The following is a 19,639-nucleotide window of genomic DNA, read 5'->3' as shown; positions in this document are numbered from 1 at the left end:
TTCTCATTGTTGTCAGTGTAATTTATCTATTTAATTATAGAACCTAGTTCCAGGATGCTTAGTCTGAAGTATATACTTGGGGCAAAATGAATTATATCTTAATAATAATCTGGAATTTTTCTTTCTAACTTGACATATTTTAATTCTTGCTAGATTTTCAAAACGTCATACCTCGAACCACCACCAGATGGCGATGAGAATGTTACAAATATTGTGCCACCATATAATGCTTTCTCAGGCCAAGGCATGCCAGAGGTAAAATAAAATACATTTGTAACCCAAGTCTTTAAATGGTTCTTTTGCTATATAAAACCTGTATAGAGGACTAAAACCAAGGAAATTAGGTGAATCATTCATGCGGATTCATTGTTTGATATTCAGTACTATGAAAACCTCATCCCTCAAATTTAAAAAATTATAATAAAATAAAAAAGAACACCAGAGAAAAAAGAAACAAAACAAATACATTAAAAACTGACCCTGCTGAAGCAGATGCCACTCTTTGAAATAACAAAGAAACTGCTGAACACGGCTTTAATTCAGTGAGGCAGTAGGGTTTTTTTGTTTGTTTGTTTTTGTTTCGTTTTGTTTTTTTGAGACGGAGTTTCGCTCTTGTCACCCAGGCTGGAGTGTAGTGGCACAATTTGGGCTCACTGCAACCTCCGCCTCCCAGGTCCAAGCAATTCTCTTGCCTCAGCCTCCTGAGTAGCTGGGATAACAGGTGCACACCACCACACCCTGCTAATTTTGTATTTTTTTTAGTGGAGGTGGGGTTTCTCTATGTTGGCCAGGCTAGTCTCAAACTCCCAACCTCAGGTGATCTGCTCACCTCGGCCTCCCAAAGTGCTGGGATTACAGGCGTGAGCCACCACGTTAAAAAGGGAAACTTCCTATTTGCCCTCTAAAGGTTTGCAGAAAATGAATGGACAAAACATAAATTAATAGAAGAAAGAGTAAAAAAAAATCTGTAAAATGTAGGGGAAAAATCACAGGGTCTCACTCAGTTACCCAGCATGAAGTGCAGTGGTGTGATCATGGCTCATTGCAATCTTGAATTCTCAAGCACAAGTGATTCTCCCCACTAAGCCTATGGAGTAGCTGGGATCACAGGGACATGCCACCATGCCCACATACATGGGTATTTGCTGGAGAGGAGATGGAGACTCTCTGTCCTGGATGTGAGACGGGTGGCTGGCATCTGGGTAAGGATGACATTCCCTCATTGCTAAAGAGTAAAAGAGGTAAGTGTCATGCATAGTGCAAGCAGGGACATGCCCTGACTTAGTGAGGTCCAGAGGCTTATATTGTCCTTCATAGGGGAGTGGGAAGAAGCGAGTGTAGGCAACCCAGGGGAAATAAATGACCTAAAATAAAAGAAATAGACCATCAGAAGTGTAGATGTATTAGTCAGGGTTCTCTAGAGTGACAGAATTAAAGGACTATATACATATATATATATGAAGGGGAGTGAGATGGTTAATAATGAGTGTCAACTTGATAGGATTGAGGGATATGAAGTATTGACCCAGGGTGTGTCTGTGAGAGTGTTGCCGAAAGAGATTAACATTTGAGTCAGTGGGCTGGGGAAGGCAGACCCACCCTTAATCTGGTGGGCAAAATCTAATCTGCTGCCAGCAAATATAAAGCAGGCAGAAAAATTTGAAAAGGAGAGACTGGCCTAGCCTCCCAGCCTACATCTTTCTCCCATGCTGGTTTCTTCCTGCCCTCAAACATTGGACTCCATGGCTCTCCTTTCTCATCAGTTTGCAGACAACCCATTGTGTAACTTATGATCCTATAAGTTAATAAACTCCCCTTTATAAATAAATATATATATATGTGTGTGTGTGTGCATATATATATGTATGTATGTGTGTATGTATATATATATATATCTATATATATATATCTATATATATATATCTATATATATATATCTATATATATATCTATATATATATCTATATATATATCTATATCTATCTATCTATCTATATATATATATATATATCTCCTGTTAGTTCTGTCCCTCTAGATGTCACTGGCTAATACAGGAAGTTTATTAAGTATTAACTCACACAGTCACCAAGTCTCACAATAGGCCATCTGCTGGATGAGGAGCAAAAAGAGCCAGCCAGGGTTCCAAAACTGAAGAACTTGGAGTCCATGTTCGAGGGCAAGAAGCATCCAGCATGGGAGAAAGATGTAGGCTGGGAGGCGAGGCCTGTCTCTTTTCACATTTTTCTGCCTGCTTATAGTATGGCTGGGTTGGCAGCTGATTGGATTGTGCCCACACAGATTAAGGGTGGGTCTGCCTTTCCCAGCCCACTGACTCACATGTTAATCTTTTTTTTGGCAACACCCTCACAGACACACCCAGGATGAATACTTTACATCCTTCAATCCAATCAAGTTGACACTCATTATTAACCATCACAAGCCCACCCCTTGTGAACTTGAACCCACACACATCTCCTGAGATCATACATAGTCTTAAATTACAGACAATAGTAAGATCATAATTACCCCAACATAATAAACTATCCTTCCTACAACTGGAAATGCACCAATCCCCAACCCAAATACTATTACATACAGTAAACAATACTTAAATGCTGATATGAGGTCAGCAAATCGATGTCACCTGATAAAGAAAAGGGAAATGAAATGAAGATATTTTCTTAGTACAAGTGCATACATGCACAAATATGTTTTTAACAAAAGAAGAAGGAAATACTCATGATAGTTCCAGTCCTCATTTCTGCAGCTGGTCAGGTAGTCGTAGCTGGTATTGATAACTACTTTCTTCCACTATTCATTCTGTATTCCCTTTGCCTTCAGCAAGCACCTCAGCAGGTCGTGACCCGGAGAGGATCTGGACCATTTGTAGTCCTACCTGGATTGGGTGTAGTTTCCCATTTACCTTAATCAGAGTGCCTGATAATACCACGAGACGCCCTAATGGATCTCCTATATTCCATGCATACTCTTCCTCACTTCCGTTGTGGAGTGGCGGACTGACTTCATCTTGATAGTCTGGGTCAATCACTGCCGCCAACACTGTAACTCCATTCTTAGCTTGTTGACTTAAAGGTAGGAGGACCCCAAAGCGTCCAAGTGGCCATCTTAACTTCCAGTTTAATGGAATCGTTATTGTGTCTCCTGGTAGCAGCGCTCTTCCCTCTGGAGCTAAGATGACTAGTAAAGCAGAACCTAATGTCGTGGGAACAGAAAGCAAACATTTTGCTAGTGCATCATAGTGAGTGGTTCCACTTTCACATCCACCCCTTGAATCCTGGATCTGTGAATCCTGGCTATGGGAGAAACAATACCATACATTGGGCGCTGATTCAGAGCACACATGGTCTTCTGGAGTATGGTGCCCCGGCCCGGCAAAGTATTGTAACCTAGTTGACGTTGTAATCGCGACCTCAAAAGGCCGTCCCACCATTCTATCAATCCAGCTGCTTCAGGAAGATGGGGAATATGGTAAGACCAGTGAATTCCGTGAGCATGAGCCCACTGCCTCACTTCTTTACCTGTAAAGTGAGTGCTTGGTCAGAGGTAATGCTGTGTGGAATACCGTGATAGTGGATAAGGCATTCCTTGAGTCCATAAATGGTAGTCTTGGCAGAAGCATTGCATGCAGGTAGGCAAACCCATATCCGGAGTAAGTGCCTGTTCCAATGAGGACAAACCTCTCTCCTTTCCATGGTGGAAGAGGTCCAATATAATCAACCTGCCACCGGCTAGCTGGTCGATCACCCGAGTGAATGATGCCATACAAAGGGTTCACTGTTAGTCTCTGCTGCTGCTGGCAAATTGGGCACTCAGCAGTGGCCACAGAGAGTTCAGCCTTGGTGAGTGGATGTCCACAATGCTGAATCCATGCATAGCCTCCATCCCTGACACCATGGCCACTATGTTCATGGGCTCATTGGACAATGACAGGGGTGTCTGAGGAAAGAGGCTGAGTGGTATCCACAGAACGGGTCATCTTATCCACTTGATTATCAAAATCCTCCTCTGCTGAAGTCACTTGTTGGTCAACACTCACACAGGGTACAAATATCTTCAGTTTTTGACCACTCAGAGAGGTCCCTCTACATACTCTTTCTCCAAGTTTCTTTGTCACCAATTTTCCAATCATGCTTCTTCCAAGTCCCTGACCATCCAGCCAAACCATTGGCTACAGCCCATGAATCAGTATATAACCGCACATCTGGAAATATCTCCTTCCATGCAAAGTGCACAATCAGGTGCACTGCTCAATGTTCTGCCCACTGGGAAGATTGTCCTTCACCACTGTCCTTCAGGGATGTCCTAGAAAGGGGCTGTAGTGCTTCAGCCGTCCACTTTTGGGTGGTACCTGCCTATTGTGGAGAACCATCTGTGAACCAGGCCCTAGTCCTCCCTTCCTGTGTCAACTGCTCAAAGGCAAGTCCCCATGAGGTCATCAGTGCTGGCCGTGGGAGAGAAGGCAGGGTGGCAGGAGTAGAGACCATGCGCATTTGAGCCACTTCCTCATGTAACTTACTTGTGCCCCCCAGGACCTGCTTGAGCCCAATCACTTATACACCATTTCCATTTGATGATGGAATGCTGCTGTACATGACCCACTTTATGGCTACATGAGTCAGAAAGCACCCAGTTCACAATAGGCAGTTCAGGTCGCATGGTGACTTGTTGACTCATAGTCAAATGTTCAGTTTCCACAAAAGCCCAGTATAGGACAAGAGCTGTCTCTCAAAAGGAGAGTAGTTAACTGGAGAAGATGACCGGGCCTTGCTGCAAAATACTAGGGGCCTCCACCATGATTCACCTAAGGATGCCTGCCAAAGCCTCAAAGCAGCATTCCTATCTGCCACGGACACCTCAGGGGGACTCAGCCTCCCCTTCATTCAAGGGGTTCTGGGTCTGTAAACTGGCTCAAGGCTGGAAATTGATTGAGGGGCCATGAATCTCTGTTTTTATAACTCCAATTAGTCTTTTATCTGTTTGACCTTAAGTTTCCTCCTTACATAAATTAAGTAGGAATGCATTAGTCTTCCTGTCAGTTTCACTTCTAGGAAAACTGTGATTAGTTAGCCAATGCCAGAGCTCTACATGAGTCAGACTGTTCAGATTGCTGCTTTGTCTTTTCTGCCCATTACCGTAGCTACGCTCACCGTGCCTTTGAGGGTTGAGTGCTAACACTTGGCCCCTGCCACTTCAGGATCCAATTATTCCAAATTGTATTTAACTTTTGTAACTGAGTGACTGCAGTTCTCACCATTAGATCTGACATACAGAGAAGAGCCTTTACAGGGCTCTTCAAAGATGCAGGTGCTGTCCTCACAAATCTATTTTGCAAGGTGTTTGTCAAGGGTATTAGGTACAGAGTCACTAAACTCCTTGCCTCTCAAGAGCGATGATTCATTAGTGTCAAATGAATTTGTTTTGCATAGCTGTTTAAACCTTTCATGCCAAGAACTGTCAATGTTCTCTACACTATTAAAAGTAGAGTCCTTAGCATTTTGGGATCTAATCATATTTAGCAGCCAAATCCAGAAACCCCAAAACCAACAAAAGAACTCCAACCTTAATATTCTGTTCCTGCAGAACCATCCTGGTACCGAAATCTGTATTAGTGAGGGTTCTCTAGAGGGACAAAACTAATAAGTTCAATATATATATATGGGTTTATTACATATTAACTTACAGGATCACAAGGTCCCACAGCAGGCTGTCTGCAGGCATGAGGAGTGAGGAGTAAGGAAAGCCAGCTCGAGTCTCAAAACTAAAGAACTTGGAGTCCGATGTTCAAGGGTAGGAAGCATCCAGGACGGGAGAGAGATGTAGGCTTGGAGGCTGGGCCAGACTCACTTTTTCACTTTTTTCTGCCTGCTTTATATTCACTGGCAGCTGGTTAAATGGTGCCCATAGATTAAGTAGGGGGTCTGCCTTCCCCAGACTACTGACTCAAATATTAATCTCCTTGGACAACACCCTCACAGACACACCCAGGAGCAATGCTTACATCCTTCAATGTAATCAAGTTGACAATCAGTATTAACTATCACAGGATTACAGACCTGAGCCATCACACACAGTGTTATTGTATATTTCATACAATTTCCTGATTTTCCCATTTTATCTGTGACTTAATATAAGTTTTTCAGCTATGACCCCAAACTGATAGTACTTGAAAGCACATTCAAATGTATTTTGCAACAATTCATAACTGGCAAAATGTTGAGCCTTGTGGAAAGAGTCACCTTACTTCCCCGTCAGCTGTCAATTCCCCATCATTACTATCACTTCTGGGAGCACATTTTCCAAAACTCCTTTTCTCTCTATGGTTTCTTCAGAGTTGCTCCATGAGGTCACAATAAGTTACAACTAATTACTGTCATGAGATTGGGAAGTCAGAGTGGTGGATTCATGTACACTGACACCTGAAGTAAAACACATGCAGTTAGGTGTGGACTGGAGAATCACCTGGAGATGTGCTGCAGGCAGCTGAGAGCATCAGCACCCCCAGCCCTGGGCTTCCCAGACAGGACCGAGGATCATCACACAGTGTTCAGCACATACCACCAGGTGCAGGTGCACCATGGCTTCTGAAGTAGCACCTGAGAATCCCCTGTGTCTAGTACCTACTTCATGAATAACACTCCACAGGCTTCGGAAAGACTGTGGTTTAGACTCTAATTTATTCAACTTGAATAATTTCTCCTTGAAATACTGAGAATAGCTTCTCTTTTGCTGTACAAATTCCGATTATCCCATAACACAGACTCCTCAGCTGGACTTATCTCTCTTCTTTATTCAGTCAGGACAGGCATTGTCACGTCTTTTCTGCTGGGGATGAGGGCGAAAGAGGCTTAGGGTTCAGAGGAACCTCCTGACCTCCTCTAGGAAAATCTCCCAATGACTTTCCAAACCTGACTGAGTTTGAGAACTTCCCTCAGCAGATAGAGGCACCAGAAAGAGCATTGGGGCAGCCCAGCCTCACACATCTGCTTCCTTGGGGTTTATGTTATGACTTGTAACACTGTGGGAGAGGTACTGTCACTCTGTTGACAGTAATAAGTTGCAAAATCTTCAGGCTGCAGGCTGCTGATGGTGAGAGTGTAATCTGTCCCAGATCCACTGTCACTGAACCGAGAGGGAATCCCACTTTGCAGACTGGATGCAGCATAGATCAGGAGCTTAGGAGTTTTCCCTGGTTTCTGCTGATACCAATTTAAATTATTGCTAATGCCCTGACTCGCCCGGCAAGTGATGGTGACTCTGTCTCCTACAGATGCAGACAGGGAGGATGGAGACTGGGTCATCTGGATGTCACATCTGGCACCTGAAGTTGGAAACATAAAAACAAATATTCTTGCAATTAATCATGTTATCAGAGGACTTCCCTGAAGTTCCAGACAGTACTGAGCACACTGACCGAGTATAATCCTAGTGTTCTCCTTCCTTACCTGGCAGCCAGAGCACCAGGAGCCCCAGGAGCTGAGTGGGGGCCCTCACTTCTGTGCTGTGTCCTGACTGGGGCTGACTCCTGCACCGGGTGTGAACAGCCTATAAAAATTCTTCAGGGCAGGGGGCTGTGCTCTAGGAACAGGCAAATCAGCAGGGGATGGGGCAGGCTGAGCACAGCTGCAGGGCTGGCTCATCTCAGTAACTCAGCACACGGGCGCAGTATCCCCAGAGTCCCAGGTCAGACCAGGACAGCACAGATTTACCTTGAAAGAATACATTTCTCATTGGTGGCCATATGGTTACAGAACATATTTTTGGAGTGAATTTTCAAAATTTTAAATCAACCTAAGACTAGATTAAATAATATATTTATACTTGTATTAGGAGTGTATAGGAAAGCATCCTTTTTGGCAGAAAATTTACAATAAAGTAGTAGAATGTAGGGCTGTCAGAAATTTCAGTTAGTCTCAAAGGAATTTGATGAGTGTAAAAGTATTTAGTGCTATAATAACAATGTCTCTGTCGGTGTGAAATTGCTTCTTTTTTGAAATGAATATAAAAAGAATTTATCAGCAGCATCTTTAATAAATTAAATAGAATTTACTAACAAACTTAAGACATTGTTCCTAGGAGTAAAAGGAAAAACAATTCTCTGAAGATGCACAAAGATGATAACTGTGTCAGGCATAGATCTGCCATTATCCAGAGCTATGGGTCTCTTTAAGACCCAGGGGCTAAATGGGCTGCACCTTATTCTTGGCGTGATGATCCCCATATTCTATCTATCCCCTTTCCTGCCTTTGGTATAATTTCTTATGGTTCTCCAGCATGGAGAGCTGACTAGTAATACCAGGTGTCATTATTTCAACTAAAATCTCTGTTTCACTCGCTGACTATAGGAGCCTGGATTAAAATCAACTTGAAGCCCTCTATCAATCTAGGCTCAGATAGTCAATTGTTTCAAAGTAGGATGACAAAAGCCACATCCCCTGAGTAATGCTCTCAGCTGCGCTCCCCACCAGACTGTTCTTGGAGTCTCAGGAGCATCTGCCCTAGAGTCTGGCTTTCTGGAGAGCAGGTGAGGGGTGAAAAGCCAGGTCAGTGAACCTCTCTCCTTAGTGAGGGCAGCTGCTGCCCAATGCATGTTCTTGCCATGCACCAGGGCATCATACTGACCCAGATGCCAGCCACCCTGTCTCACATCCATTTAGAGAGAATCTCCATCTTCTGCCAAGACACTGCCCATGTAGATGAAAAAGTATTTTGCATCCAAACATATCTTAAGCACTGATTTGAACCTCAATACTTCACACAGATGCCTTTGTCCAGGGCATGTTGGCCTGGCTCAACAGCAGGGGAAGTGGAGCCAATTACATCAGTGTCAGTGGACTGAGAAATACTCCAGGGAGTAGTTCTCATGCACGACTACCAGTGGCCAGACCAAGGTAGTGCAGCCTGTGCACAAACCTCCTGCTGCTTTTCCAGAGGACTGGATTTCTGGGAAATGGCTACTGAACAGGCTGCCAGGATCCATATATCCAGATTCAGAGAGATACATCTCTGGATTCAAATGCGCTTTTTCTTTGTGCATAATTTTAGCAGTCATTGTTACTACGCCTTGGGGATTCTAGTCATTATACTTCAGCTGACTCTCTATGGCCCTTTCTCCCCTTCACTGCTCTATCTGAACCTGGGGAAGCAGCTCAGGCTGCAAATGAGGCAGACCTCATGGCCTGGAATTAGCATCCCCTAGGACGGCTGTCAATCAGTGATGACAAGGGAGGTGTACACATCCCCCAGCTCCCTCACCTCTCAGGTGGAATAACAGAGGCATTTTTCCTGTGTTTCTATGTGGGCTTGAGCTCTCGTCATCCTCAGAGGTGGCTCCTTCTGAGGCACCTTTCACTTTCCCTTTCCCTCCTCCCCTCCCTTGCTCACTTGCTTGTTTCCCGCACTTTGTAAATATACTGTCTACATGCGAATCTTTGGCATCCTTCTCACTGAGGGGACCCAACCTAATGCATTGGAAAAATCCTTATTCTTGGAGGGCATCGTTGGTTTGAATTATTGCCACTTCTCATGTTTTAATGCCTAGGGAAATTCCAAAAATTTAGGAAATATTTAAATTCCCTTTGCCAATCTTTCTTAGATTTGATTTTAGCAGAGATTCATTTTCTCTAGGTCACAAAATCACAGAAGCCTTCCACAAATGGCTACACAACATAGAGTCCACATAGAGCAGAGACTCAGAATCTCCCAGGATTTGACATCCACACATCAGACAGTCCTAGAGTCTCAGGTTTTTTCTAGGTCGATCGCCTCATAAATCTGCCTTGTGATATTTTTATTCTACCTTAGGGGAAGACCATTGTGTGGATGATGAGAGTTGTTTGTGGAATGAATAATACACCCACTAAAGACATCATTGTCCTAATATCTGGAATCTATGATCGTTACTTATGAATATGTCAAAAATAACTCGGCAGACATGGTTGAGAATTTTGGGGTCAGGAGAGTATCCTGAATTATCTGGGTGAGACCATCATAATCACAAGGGTCCTTACAATAGGGAGGGAGGAAGGTAACAGCCAGAGAGGACCTGGGACAATGGACAGGGAAACTGGAGTGGTGGAGGAACGGGCCAGGCTGCTAGGAATGTGGGAACATCAGAAAGACGGAATGCTCAATATTGGATTCTCTCTCTTGAAGCCTAGACTGAATAGAGCCCTATTACTCCTTGATTTTACTTCATTGAGACTTCTGACCTCCAGAAATGTAAGATAATACACTTGTGTTATGTGGAGCAGTAAGGTTGTGGTAATTTGTTACAGCAGCAACAGGAAACCAATGCAAGGGGAAGGGGTGTGTTTTACTTCCCTAGTGTATCACTGTCTTCTGTTCTCCCAAATAGTTCCGTGTTTTTGTGTTTGCTGTCAATCTCAACAAGAGACAGAAAATATTTTTCTATGAGGAGAGCTAGCACCACAATTCTTCTTATGTAGAGTGTCTTGAGTAATTCTCTGGGTTAGGTCTTGTACAATCTTAGTATCTGAGAGCCTGGAGGTCATCCCTCACAGCACATGAGAAGAGGAAGGGGATGCGGGTTTGCTGTTTTAACATTTGTGAGGCAAATTAGATGTACAAGACTCATTCTTTTTTTTATTATTATTATTGTTCTTTAAGTTCTAGGGTACATGTGCACAACGTGCAGGTTTGTTACATATGTATACATGTGCCATGTTGGTGTGCTGCACCCATTAACTCGTCATTTACATAAGGTATACCTCCTAATGCTATCCCTCCCCCCTCCCCCCACCCCACGACAGGCCCTGGTGTGTGATGTTCCCCTTCCTGTGTCCATATGTTCTCATTGTTCAATTCCCACCTGTGAGTGAGAACATGCAGTGATTGGTTTTTTTGTCCTTGCGATAGTTTGCTGAGAATGATGGTTTCCAGCTTCATCCATGCCCCTACAAAGGACATGAACTCATCCATTTTTATGGCTGCAAGCGAGGACTGAGTCAGAGAGATGGGGATGGCAGAGGAGAGAAAATGTGATCAGGGCCGTGTAAGATGTGACCCTGCTGCCATATCTGAAAGAAAGGCTGTTGGTGTTTGTAAAGGCTTTGGGCAAATTGTGCTTTGTAGACAAAACTGTAGAAGGGTCTGGGTTTAAGCTTAGTGTCAGCGTGATGAGGACTAGAGGTCGCAGTGAGCTTGTGTTAAGAAATCCAACCTGCACTTCTGGCTTTGTCTCTTTTCTGGTTTTATAGGTGGTGGGTTCCTCTATGGAATGAACGTGGCTCTGTGGAAGGAACATAGTTAAGGTCAGACAGACCTAGATTCCAAGTTCAGCTTCAACAACTGCTGACCAAGTGACTTTTATGCAAATCAGCCATGTGCTGTCATGAACAGTTTCCTCATGTGTGAAATGGAGCACTGGGGATGTGAAGGGGTGTCCTGAGGGTTCCGCCAGCTGATGCACCATGAAGTGTACATACATGTATAGACAGACACACACACATACATGAGAAGAGTATCTAGTGCCCCTTTTATGCATTCTGGAGTAACTCAGAATGTTATGTGAGATATTAACAGTCATATGTCATTTTCAACTAAAATTATCGATATTTATCTTATAACTAACAGATGCTTCTCTGTACACTGTAGGTTTCATGTACATTGCTTCAATCACAAAATTTTTCACTGATCTATTTATGTCTAGTATCAGAAAGTTAAGCAAGGAGATTGCAAACCAACACAACACCTTTAGTCTGGATTTTCCCGGAGCCCCATTTTTGTTAGTGTCCTTGGGCTACTGTAACAAGTTCTCAAAAATGTGGTAGCTTCAAACAACAGGAATGGAATCTCTCATAGTTCAGAAGTCCAGATCAGTTTCACTGGGCTAAGATCTTGGAGTCATCAGTTCTGGCTCCTTCTGAAGCTCTAGGGAGCAGTCTGATTTAGCTCTTCCAGCTTCTGGTGGCTTCTCTCTCCCGGGATGTGGACACATCACTGCAATCTCTGTCTCTGTGTTCACATTGCCTTCTCCACTTCAGTCTATGCTAAATGTGTCTCTACCTCTTGTTTTTTTTAGGACACTTGAGTTTGCATTTAAGTCCCAGTTGATTAATCTAAGACCATCTCCCTGTTTCAAGCTCCTTAATTTACACCTGCAAAAGCTGTTTTCCCAAATGAGATACATGCGTAGTCTTCTTGGAATGAAACCTCACTATTTGGGGATGATACTCAGTACTACACCATTACATAACCAGGTCTCAGTGTTAGTCCTGTACATACATCACAATCTCTCTCTCTCTCTCTCTCTCTCTCTCTCTCTCTCTCTCCACACACCCTGGCTTCCTAGTTTTCTCAATGTCATAAATCTCTTCAATTCCTTAAGTGTATCCAGTGATACCTATAAACAAATAAGTATCTGAGAAAAGTCTCAATCAGTTTAGAAATTTATTTTGTCAAAGTTAAAGAAATATCAGTGAAACAGCCTCAGGAGGTCTTGAGAAAGTGTGTCAAAGGTCGTTGGGCTACAGGTTGATTTTACACGTTTTCGGGAGACATAAGATATCAATCAATACGTGTAAGCTGTACATTGCTTTGATATGGAAAGACAGGACAGCCCAAAGGAGGGGGGATGTTGGGGACTTCCAGGTCATAGTTGGATTCAAAGATTTCATAGGTGGTTGAAATAGTTTATTTAATGACCTGTAATCAACACAAGGGAGTTTCTGGGTTTAGAAAAAGGGTTTTGGAGCCAAGATTGCATCATGCAGATGAAGCCTCCAGGTAGCAGGCTTCAGAGAGAATAGATTGTAATTGTTTCTTAGTAGACTTAAAAGGTGCCAAACTCTTAGTTAAATCTCTCTGGGTCAGGAAAGAGACTTAAAAAGGAATCTCTACAGAATGTAGATTTTTCCCACAAGAACCAGCTTTGCAGAGGCATTTTTAAATACATTAAATAACAATATCTTGGGGAAAATACTTTGATTTCTCTTAGGACGTGGTATCTGTCACATTGGTATCTTATTGGTATAAAGAGTTTTCTTTGTCAGTCTCAAGGTCTCTGTCTTCATATTAAAAGCTGGTCAGTTGTGCCTGAATTTTAAAGGGAAGAGGGTAAGTTAAGGCATATCCAATCATCCATTCCGATCATGGACTGCATTGTATTTCAAGTTGATTTTGGTGTGTCCTTGGCTGAGAGGAGGAGTTCATTCAGTTGGTTAGGGAGCTTAGAGTTTCATTTTTGGTTTACGCACCTATGTCCAGGTAAGAGGGCCCCACACAGGAGGGCTTGCTCAGAAACTGGCTTGCAGGGCTGCTTACAGACCTTCTATGTCTCCTGTTGTCATGCACAAGGAAGGACACAGACAATGACAACCCTCAGCCATCCGGGGAGAAGTTGTGTCTGCAGAGGACGGTCATGAGCTGTGAGTCTAGAGACCTGTGATTGTCTTCAGGGGCCTGTGGTCCTCGGCTTTCATAGGAGTTGTGGGGGCACTGGCTCAAATAGCATCCACCAGGATTCCAATCAGAATATCTCATTCACAGAAGGCAGTGGGTGATATGACAGCACAGAGGGACTCTGTGGGGCCAGCTGCATGGAGCACTCTGGGAGAGTCACTGGCACCCGTGCTAGACAGAGCTTCTTTCAACTTCTGGAGCACACGGATTTAGATCTCTTTACATCATTTTGAAAGACTATTTATCATTCTGAAGGAAACCACTGTAATTAACTAAGGTAACATCTTTAATAGGTAGAAAGAAAAAAGTGATTATTTTATTGCCAAGATGATTACAAGAAAAGAAACACACAAAAATAGCATGAAGGAAAGAGCAACCCTAGACTGACGACTTTGGGTAAGAGGTTGAGACTTAGTAGTGAATGCCCTGGGCCATCTTCTGTCAAAAGGGAGGGACAATCAGCAAAGGGAAATACGCAGTAGAGGCAAAATCTTGGTTAGTAAAAGAATCCTAAGAGAAAACAAGAAGTCTCCTTCCTCAGCATCATGTTGGTGTCAGGAAGATGCACATAATCCCCCCATTGCATGTCTTACACTTTTCAGCAATTAGGGCTCAGCATGAATTTAGAAGACACCATTCACTTCACAGCAGATGGGGACACAGTCAAGGCAGCGGTGAGAGGCAAGGCTGGGCTTTCAGTCTCAGAGCACAGAGCAGGTTCCCCACTACTCTGCACCCTGCTGTCTCCTCCCAGATGTTCCAGATGTTCCACCTCATTCTTGCCTTAAGGGCTCCAAGTTGTTAATGGGACAGTAGCCCTCTTCCTTTCCCAGGGTTTCTAAGAATTTGGCTCTCTTTTGTGTATTGTGGGGTTTGTTTGCCATCTAGAGGCAGGATTTTGGCATAGCAACTTACAGGCTTTTTCTACTTGTGATAGCGAAAATAAATACATAAATAAATTCAGTCAAATAAATTGACTTAATGCATTGAATCTGTAAAAAAAAAATAAGGTCAGTTTGAGAGCTTAAAAGGAGCCTGATGAGGTTAAAAAGAAAATTACCTTTAGTAAAGAACAGTTGGAGCAATAGATGATTCTTTCTTTAATCAATGACATTTTAGGAGTAATTATAAAATGGTAAATAAAACTTGAAATAAGCTGATAAAATATAATTTTATATGCAAAAAAAATTTCCAAGAACCATACAAATACATTTTCAGATTAAAACAAACAAAAAATGTGGGTTTATCATCAGATCCGCTAAATGGAAGATTTCTCAAATGTGTGCTTGGAGCAAAAATAACACTTATTCCTATTTGAAAGTTCAAGATTTTTGAGCTTTAGAAGAAAATAGCTTTCCCTTCACTCTGTTCCACTCATGCTTCTGAGGATGGCCTTGGGACAAAAAGCCGCTGCGGCAGGGGTCAAAAAGCCGCGACGGCGGGGGGGCAAAAAGCCGTGGCGGCGGGGGGCAAAAAGCCGCGGCGGCGGGGGGCAAAATGCCGCGGCGGCGGGGGGCAAAAAACCGCAGTGGGGAAAAAGCCGCGGCGGCGGGGGGGTCAAAAAGCCGCGGCGGGCAAAAAGCCGGTGCAGCGGTGGGCGGCAAAAAGCCGCGACGTCGGGGGGCAAAAAGCCTTGGCGGCGGGGGTGCAAAAAGCCGCGGGGGGCAAAAAATCGCGGCAGCGGGGGGGCAAAAAGCCGTGGCAGCGAGGGGCAAAAAGCCGTGGCGGGCAAAAAGCCGCGGCAGTCGGGGGCAAAAAGCCGCGGCAGGCAAATAACCGCGGCACCGGGGGGTGGGGGCAAAAAGCCGCGGTGGCAGGGGGGCAACAAGCCGCGACCGGCAAAAAGCCGCGGCGGCGGGGGGCAAAAAGCCGCGGCGGCGGGCGGCAAAAAGCCGCAACGTCGGGGGGCAAAAAGCCGCGGCAGTGGGGGTGCAAAAAGCCGTGGCGGGCAAAAAGTCGCTGCGGCGGGGGGCAAAATGCCGCGGCGGCGGGGGTTCAAAAAGTCGTGGTGGCGGGGGTGCAAAAAGCTCCGGCGGGTAAATAACCGCGGCACGTGGGGGGGGGTGGTAAAAAGCCACGGCGGCGGGGACGCAAAAAGCCGCGGCGGGCAAAACGCCGAGGAGCGGTGGGGGCAAAAAGCCGCGGCGGCGGGTGGGCAAAAAGCCGCGGCGACGGGCGGTAAAAAGCCGCGGTGGGGAAAAAGCCGCGGCGGCGGGCAGCAAAAAGCCACGGTGGCGGGTGGCAAAATGCCGCGGCGACGGGGGGCGAAAAGTCTCGGAGAGTAAAAAGCCGGGGAGGGGCGGGGGGGGGGGGCAAAAAGCCGCGGCGGCGGAGGGCAAAATAGTGGAGATGGGGTAGAAGGCCGGCACAGCTTGGCATTGCTGGAGTGTGATGTGATAGGAAATGTGCAGCCAAAGACAAAAAAAGATGTAAGTAGGCTTGACTCATTGCAGCCAAGAACCCAGATGTTGCCTTGAGGGTATTAACTAATAAGCAGTTTAAATCAGAATGGCACATTCTGATTTGTTTTTTGTATGTTCACATTTGGCAGGCATAGATACTGTTTGAAGAGAGAAAAGTCAGTAGATAGAGGTAACAAAAATATGTGCCAAATCTAGAAACAAGAGACCAGGGGGATAAGAACCTTTCAAAATAAAATGCAAGATTTGAAAACTGATTGGCTGGGGGATGAGGAAAAGGCAGGTCTTTAAGGTCAATCCCTGTTTTGCTTTAAGTTGTTAGGGGGTGGTTTTATCACATATTGTAGAATATGTCATTTCAGTTTTGAACATCTTGAGTTAAATTGTCCTAACATATCTTATGAATTTGATTTTCTTCCCTGGGAAGCTAATATTTCAAAAACTTAAAGAGTATATAGATTTCCAACTTGTATCCAATTTATAAAACTGTCTCTAGGCTGCTGATTTCAGGAGGAGGCTCATGAATATTCTCTTTGCAGAGAATATATCAGGAGTTAACAACAGCTTCAATATTTGTGGACAACCAGTTAACTAAGCCACCTCTTAGTGTATTTAGATGGGAAATCTTAGCTGAAGATATTCAATAATGAACCAACAGTGACTAAAAAATTCAATATTTAAGTATATTTCATTGTAATTAATTTGAATTGAAGTAGCCACACACAGCTAGTATTTACTACATTGAACAATGCAAATAAGAGGAAAAAGTTAATAACCATCTCTAATACCACATGCCAAAATCCTCATCAATTTTTTCTAGCTAAAGAAGTTGATCAGAAGCAGCAGTTGAAAGCACCAACTAAACCAGCTGGGGTTAGTTCACTGTCATTCTCTCAGAACCATCTCTTCTCTGAATAAAACAAGTACAAGAGTTCACTGTGAATCTCCATTCTCCTTGCCTATTTTAAGGTTTTGATGTTGACACTAATTTGTGAAATCCCTCCTGTGGTGTGATATTTCGTTTTCCTTGCTTTCTGTTAGGACAAGAATGCTTCAGCTCTTAATTTAAAATTATGTTTCTCCCTCCTATGTTGAGTGAACTTAGAATGCATTCTCTGACATATCCAAGTTTTTGTTAATATGAGTTTGGGGAAAAAAGCATACTTAATTAGCTAAGACTTCTTATTCTAGGCTTGACCCTGTGTTCGACATCTATTGAATTTGTAGTTGCATGGGCTGCTCTCTGACACTGGTTACTGACCTGGAAGCTCTATTAATGTTAGGGGAGGTGGTGTATGAGCATTAGAGGTATCCTTGCAAGGAAAGACTTGTCTTATCTCAATACGTCTTTTTTTTGCACACAAGAAAGTCAATGTCTGAGTCTTCTAAAATCTTCCTATTTCCAAATTGCAGATTATGATTGATTCCTAAACAAATACCTAATTTTTGACTCAGAGACGTGGCAAGGTAGTGAATCACCATTATAATTTAACAATCTTCAAGATAAAATTATCTCTCTGATACTTAGATTTTGCCCAATTATTAAGATATTTGGGTGTTTCATTAAGAATGGAAGACTCTAGTGTCTTGAGCAGAGACTATAAAGGCCTCAGATGATCATTTTTTATTTTATGCTTTTTTCTTTAACACCTTCAACACAGTTGGAAGCAGCTGATATTCCCCAGAGTTGTTGTGTTTTTTAAACCAAATGCATGGTTCAGTGGTAGAAAACTGGGCTGACCCAAGCTGTTTTCAGTAAACATTTCAGGTGACCTATTTCATATTAAATAATCTCTAGATCCTGTCTTCGAAACTAACTAGATCAGGTAACCTACCCTGGATTTTCTCCTTTTAGTGTCTGTGAGCTGCAGTCACTTTTGTGAAAATGATTGCAGTGACAAGATAGAGTTGTAGATAGGGAAAATGTTTTGACTAATTTAAGCATAGTGGTATTTCATATGAGAATTTAAGTTACACACGTTTGAAAATTATATTGGAGTCTCTTTGCTGAGCTTTAAAAAAAATAGCGTTTAGGCTAAACAGGGAACTGCTACCTCTCCTAAAATCAGAAAGATGTTACAGTAATTCTCCATTCTCTAGATTATCAGGAAGCACCTTTGTGATTATTTACTTTTGTTCTTGGGAGTGTGAGCCCGTGTAGTCGTGGAACCATCAATTAGAATGGTGGCTTTCTGATCCCAAAGTCATTCGTTCTGAAAACAATATTTTTCATAAATTTGAAAGTGAGAAGTCTTGATCTTGCCATTCCCAAGTAACTCTCTTAATAAGAGGCATCAGCATGCTTCAGTGACAGCTGTCACTTTCCAGTGCTCAGAGTCATCTTTGAGTTCTCCATTTCATTCCCTACACTCCAATTTAGCTGCAGTTCTCTTGGCCAGTCCTATGAAATACATCCATGGCCTAACGACTTCTCACCACTAATACCACTCATCCTGACAGCATTCTCACCTAAGTCACTGCCTTTTTTCTCTGGATTACAATAGCCTCCTAATTTATTTGCTCACATAACCTATTTATTCTACACGGTGCACCAGATACACCCCTTTGAAATGCAAACACAATCATGTTATTCTCTGCTGAAATTATCTCATATATTCCTATTGCATTTAAAATTAATTCAGAATAATCCCATGATTATCAAAACCCTACATGCTCTTCCACAACATGGTTTACTTCCAAGATATCTCTTCAACTTTTTTTTCACTGTACTGAATTGGTGACTAATAATCATATTTTTGTTTTTGCTCAAAAAGTCTTGACTTGTAAATTTTTCAGTTTCTCCTTTATCCACAGGTAACTCTTTCCTCGTAAGGCGAATTGCTTGCTTCCTTGATTTCTGCTCTCAAAGATACCCTTTATTTTCTACCTAATATTAATAACTTTAATCATTCATTATTCCATTACTATGCTTTATAGTGTATACAATTTCTGTTCTTTGTCATGTTATTAACTAAATTATTTATTTGGTCCAGTAACGTATTCCATAAATATTGCACACATAAAAATTATGTTATTTTTATTGCTGTATGCTCAGCTGCCCAATAACAGTCTGAGGATTAACATATTTGTTAAATGCACAAATACATTCTTTCACAAATGTCAGCTTAATAATTTTATATTAAACTCCCTCTATACTTACAATATGAATTAGATAATTCAGAATAAACACTCCATTGGAAAAAACTAAACAATTTGTTATAAAACATCCTTAAAAGCATCAGAAAGTTAACACAGCAATGAAGAATTACAGGACCAAATTAAGAATGGTATGGAAGCCTGTTTATGAGGCTTATGTTTGGGTTATCTCTTTACTTAGAGTGACTATAAATCTCAAAAAAGAACTAAAGGCAGAAATAACCATATCAACTCACATGGTAAGGGTATTTAAACATCTCTTCGTAATTGAGATAATTGAAAGAAAAGAGAAAGGGAGAAAGAGAAACAGAGCAAAAGGGATAATGAAGGAGAGACAGAAGAAGAGAAAGGAAGAGGAAGAAAAGTAAAAAGGAGGAGGAGGGGGAGGGAGGAAGAAAGAAAGGTGAAAAGAAAGAATGCTAAAGTTTTCAACAACATAATTTATCCTTTTAGAATATGAATGTTGATCTATTTGATGATGTCCCACAGATTCATTAGTCTCTGCTCATTTTTTATCTGTTTCTGAGAGTCAATATTTTCCATTTTCTTATCTTCAAGCTCATGTCTTCTTCTGTGTGTGCAAATATACTCTTAAATCCCTCTGGTGATTTTTAAATTTTTAT

This window comes from Homo sapiens, chromosome 10 (assembly GCF_000001405.40).
Source record: "Homo sapiens chromosome 10, GRCh38.p14 Primary Assembly".
In the NCBI taxonomy this organism is placed as follows: domain Eukaryota; kingdom Metazoa; phylum Chordata; class Mammalia; order Primates; family Hominidae; genus Homo; species Homo sapiens.
This window is presented reverse-complemented; position numbering follows the sequence as displayed.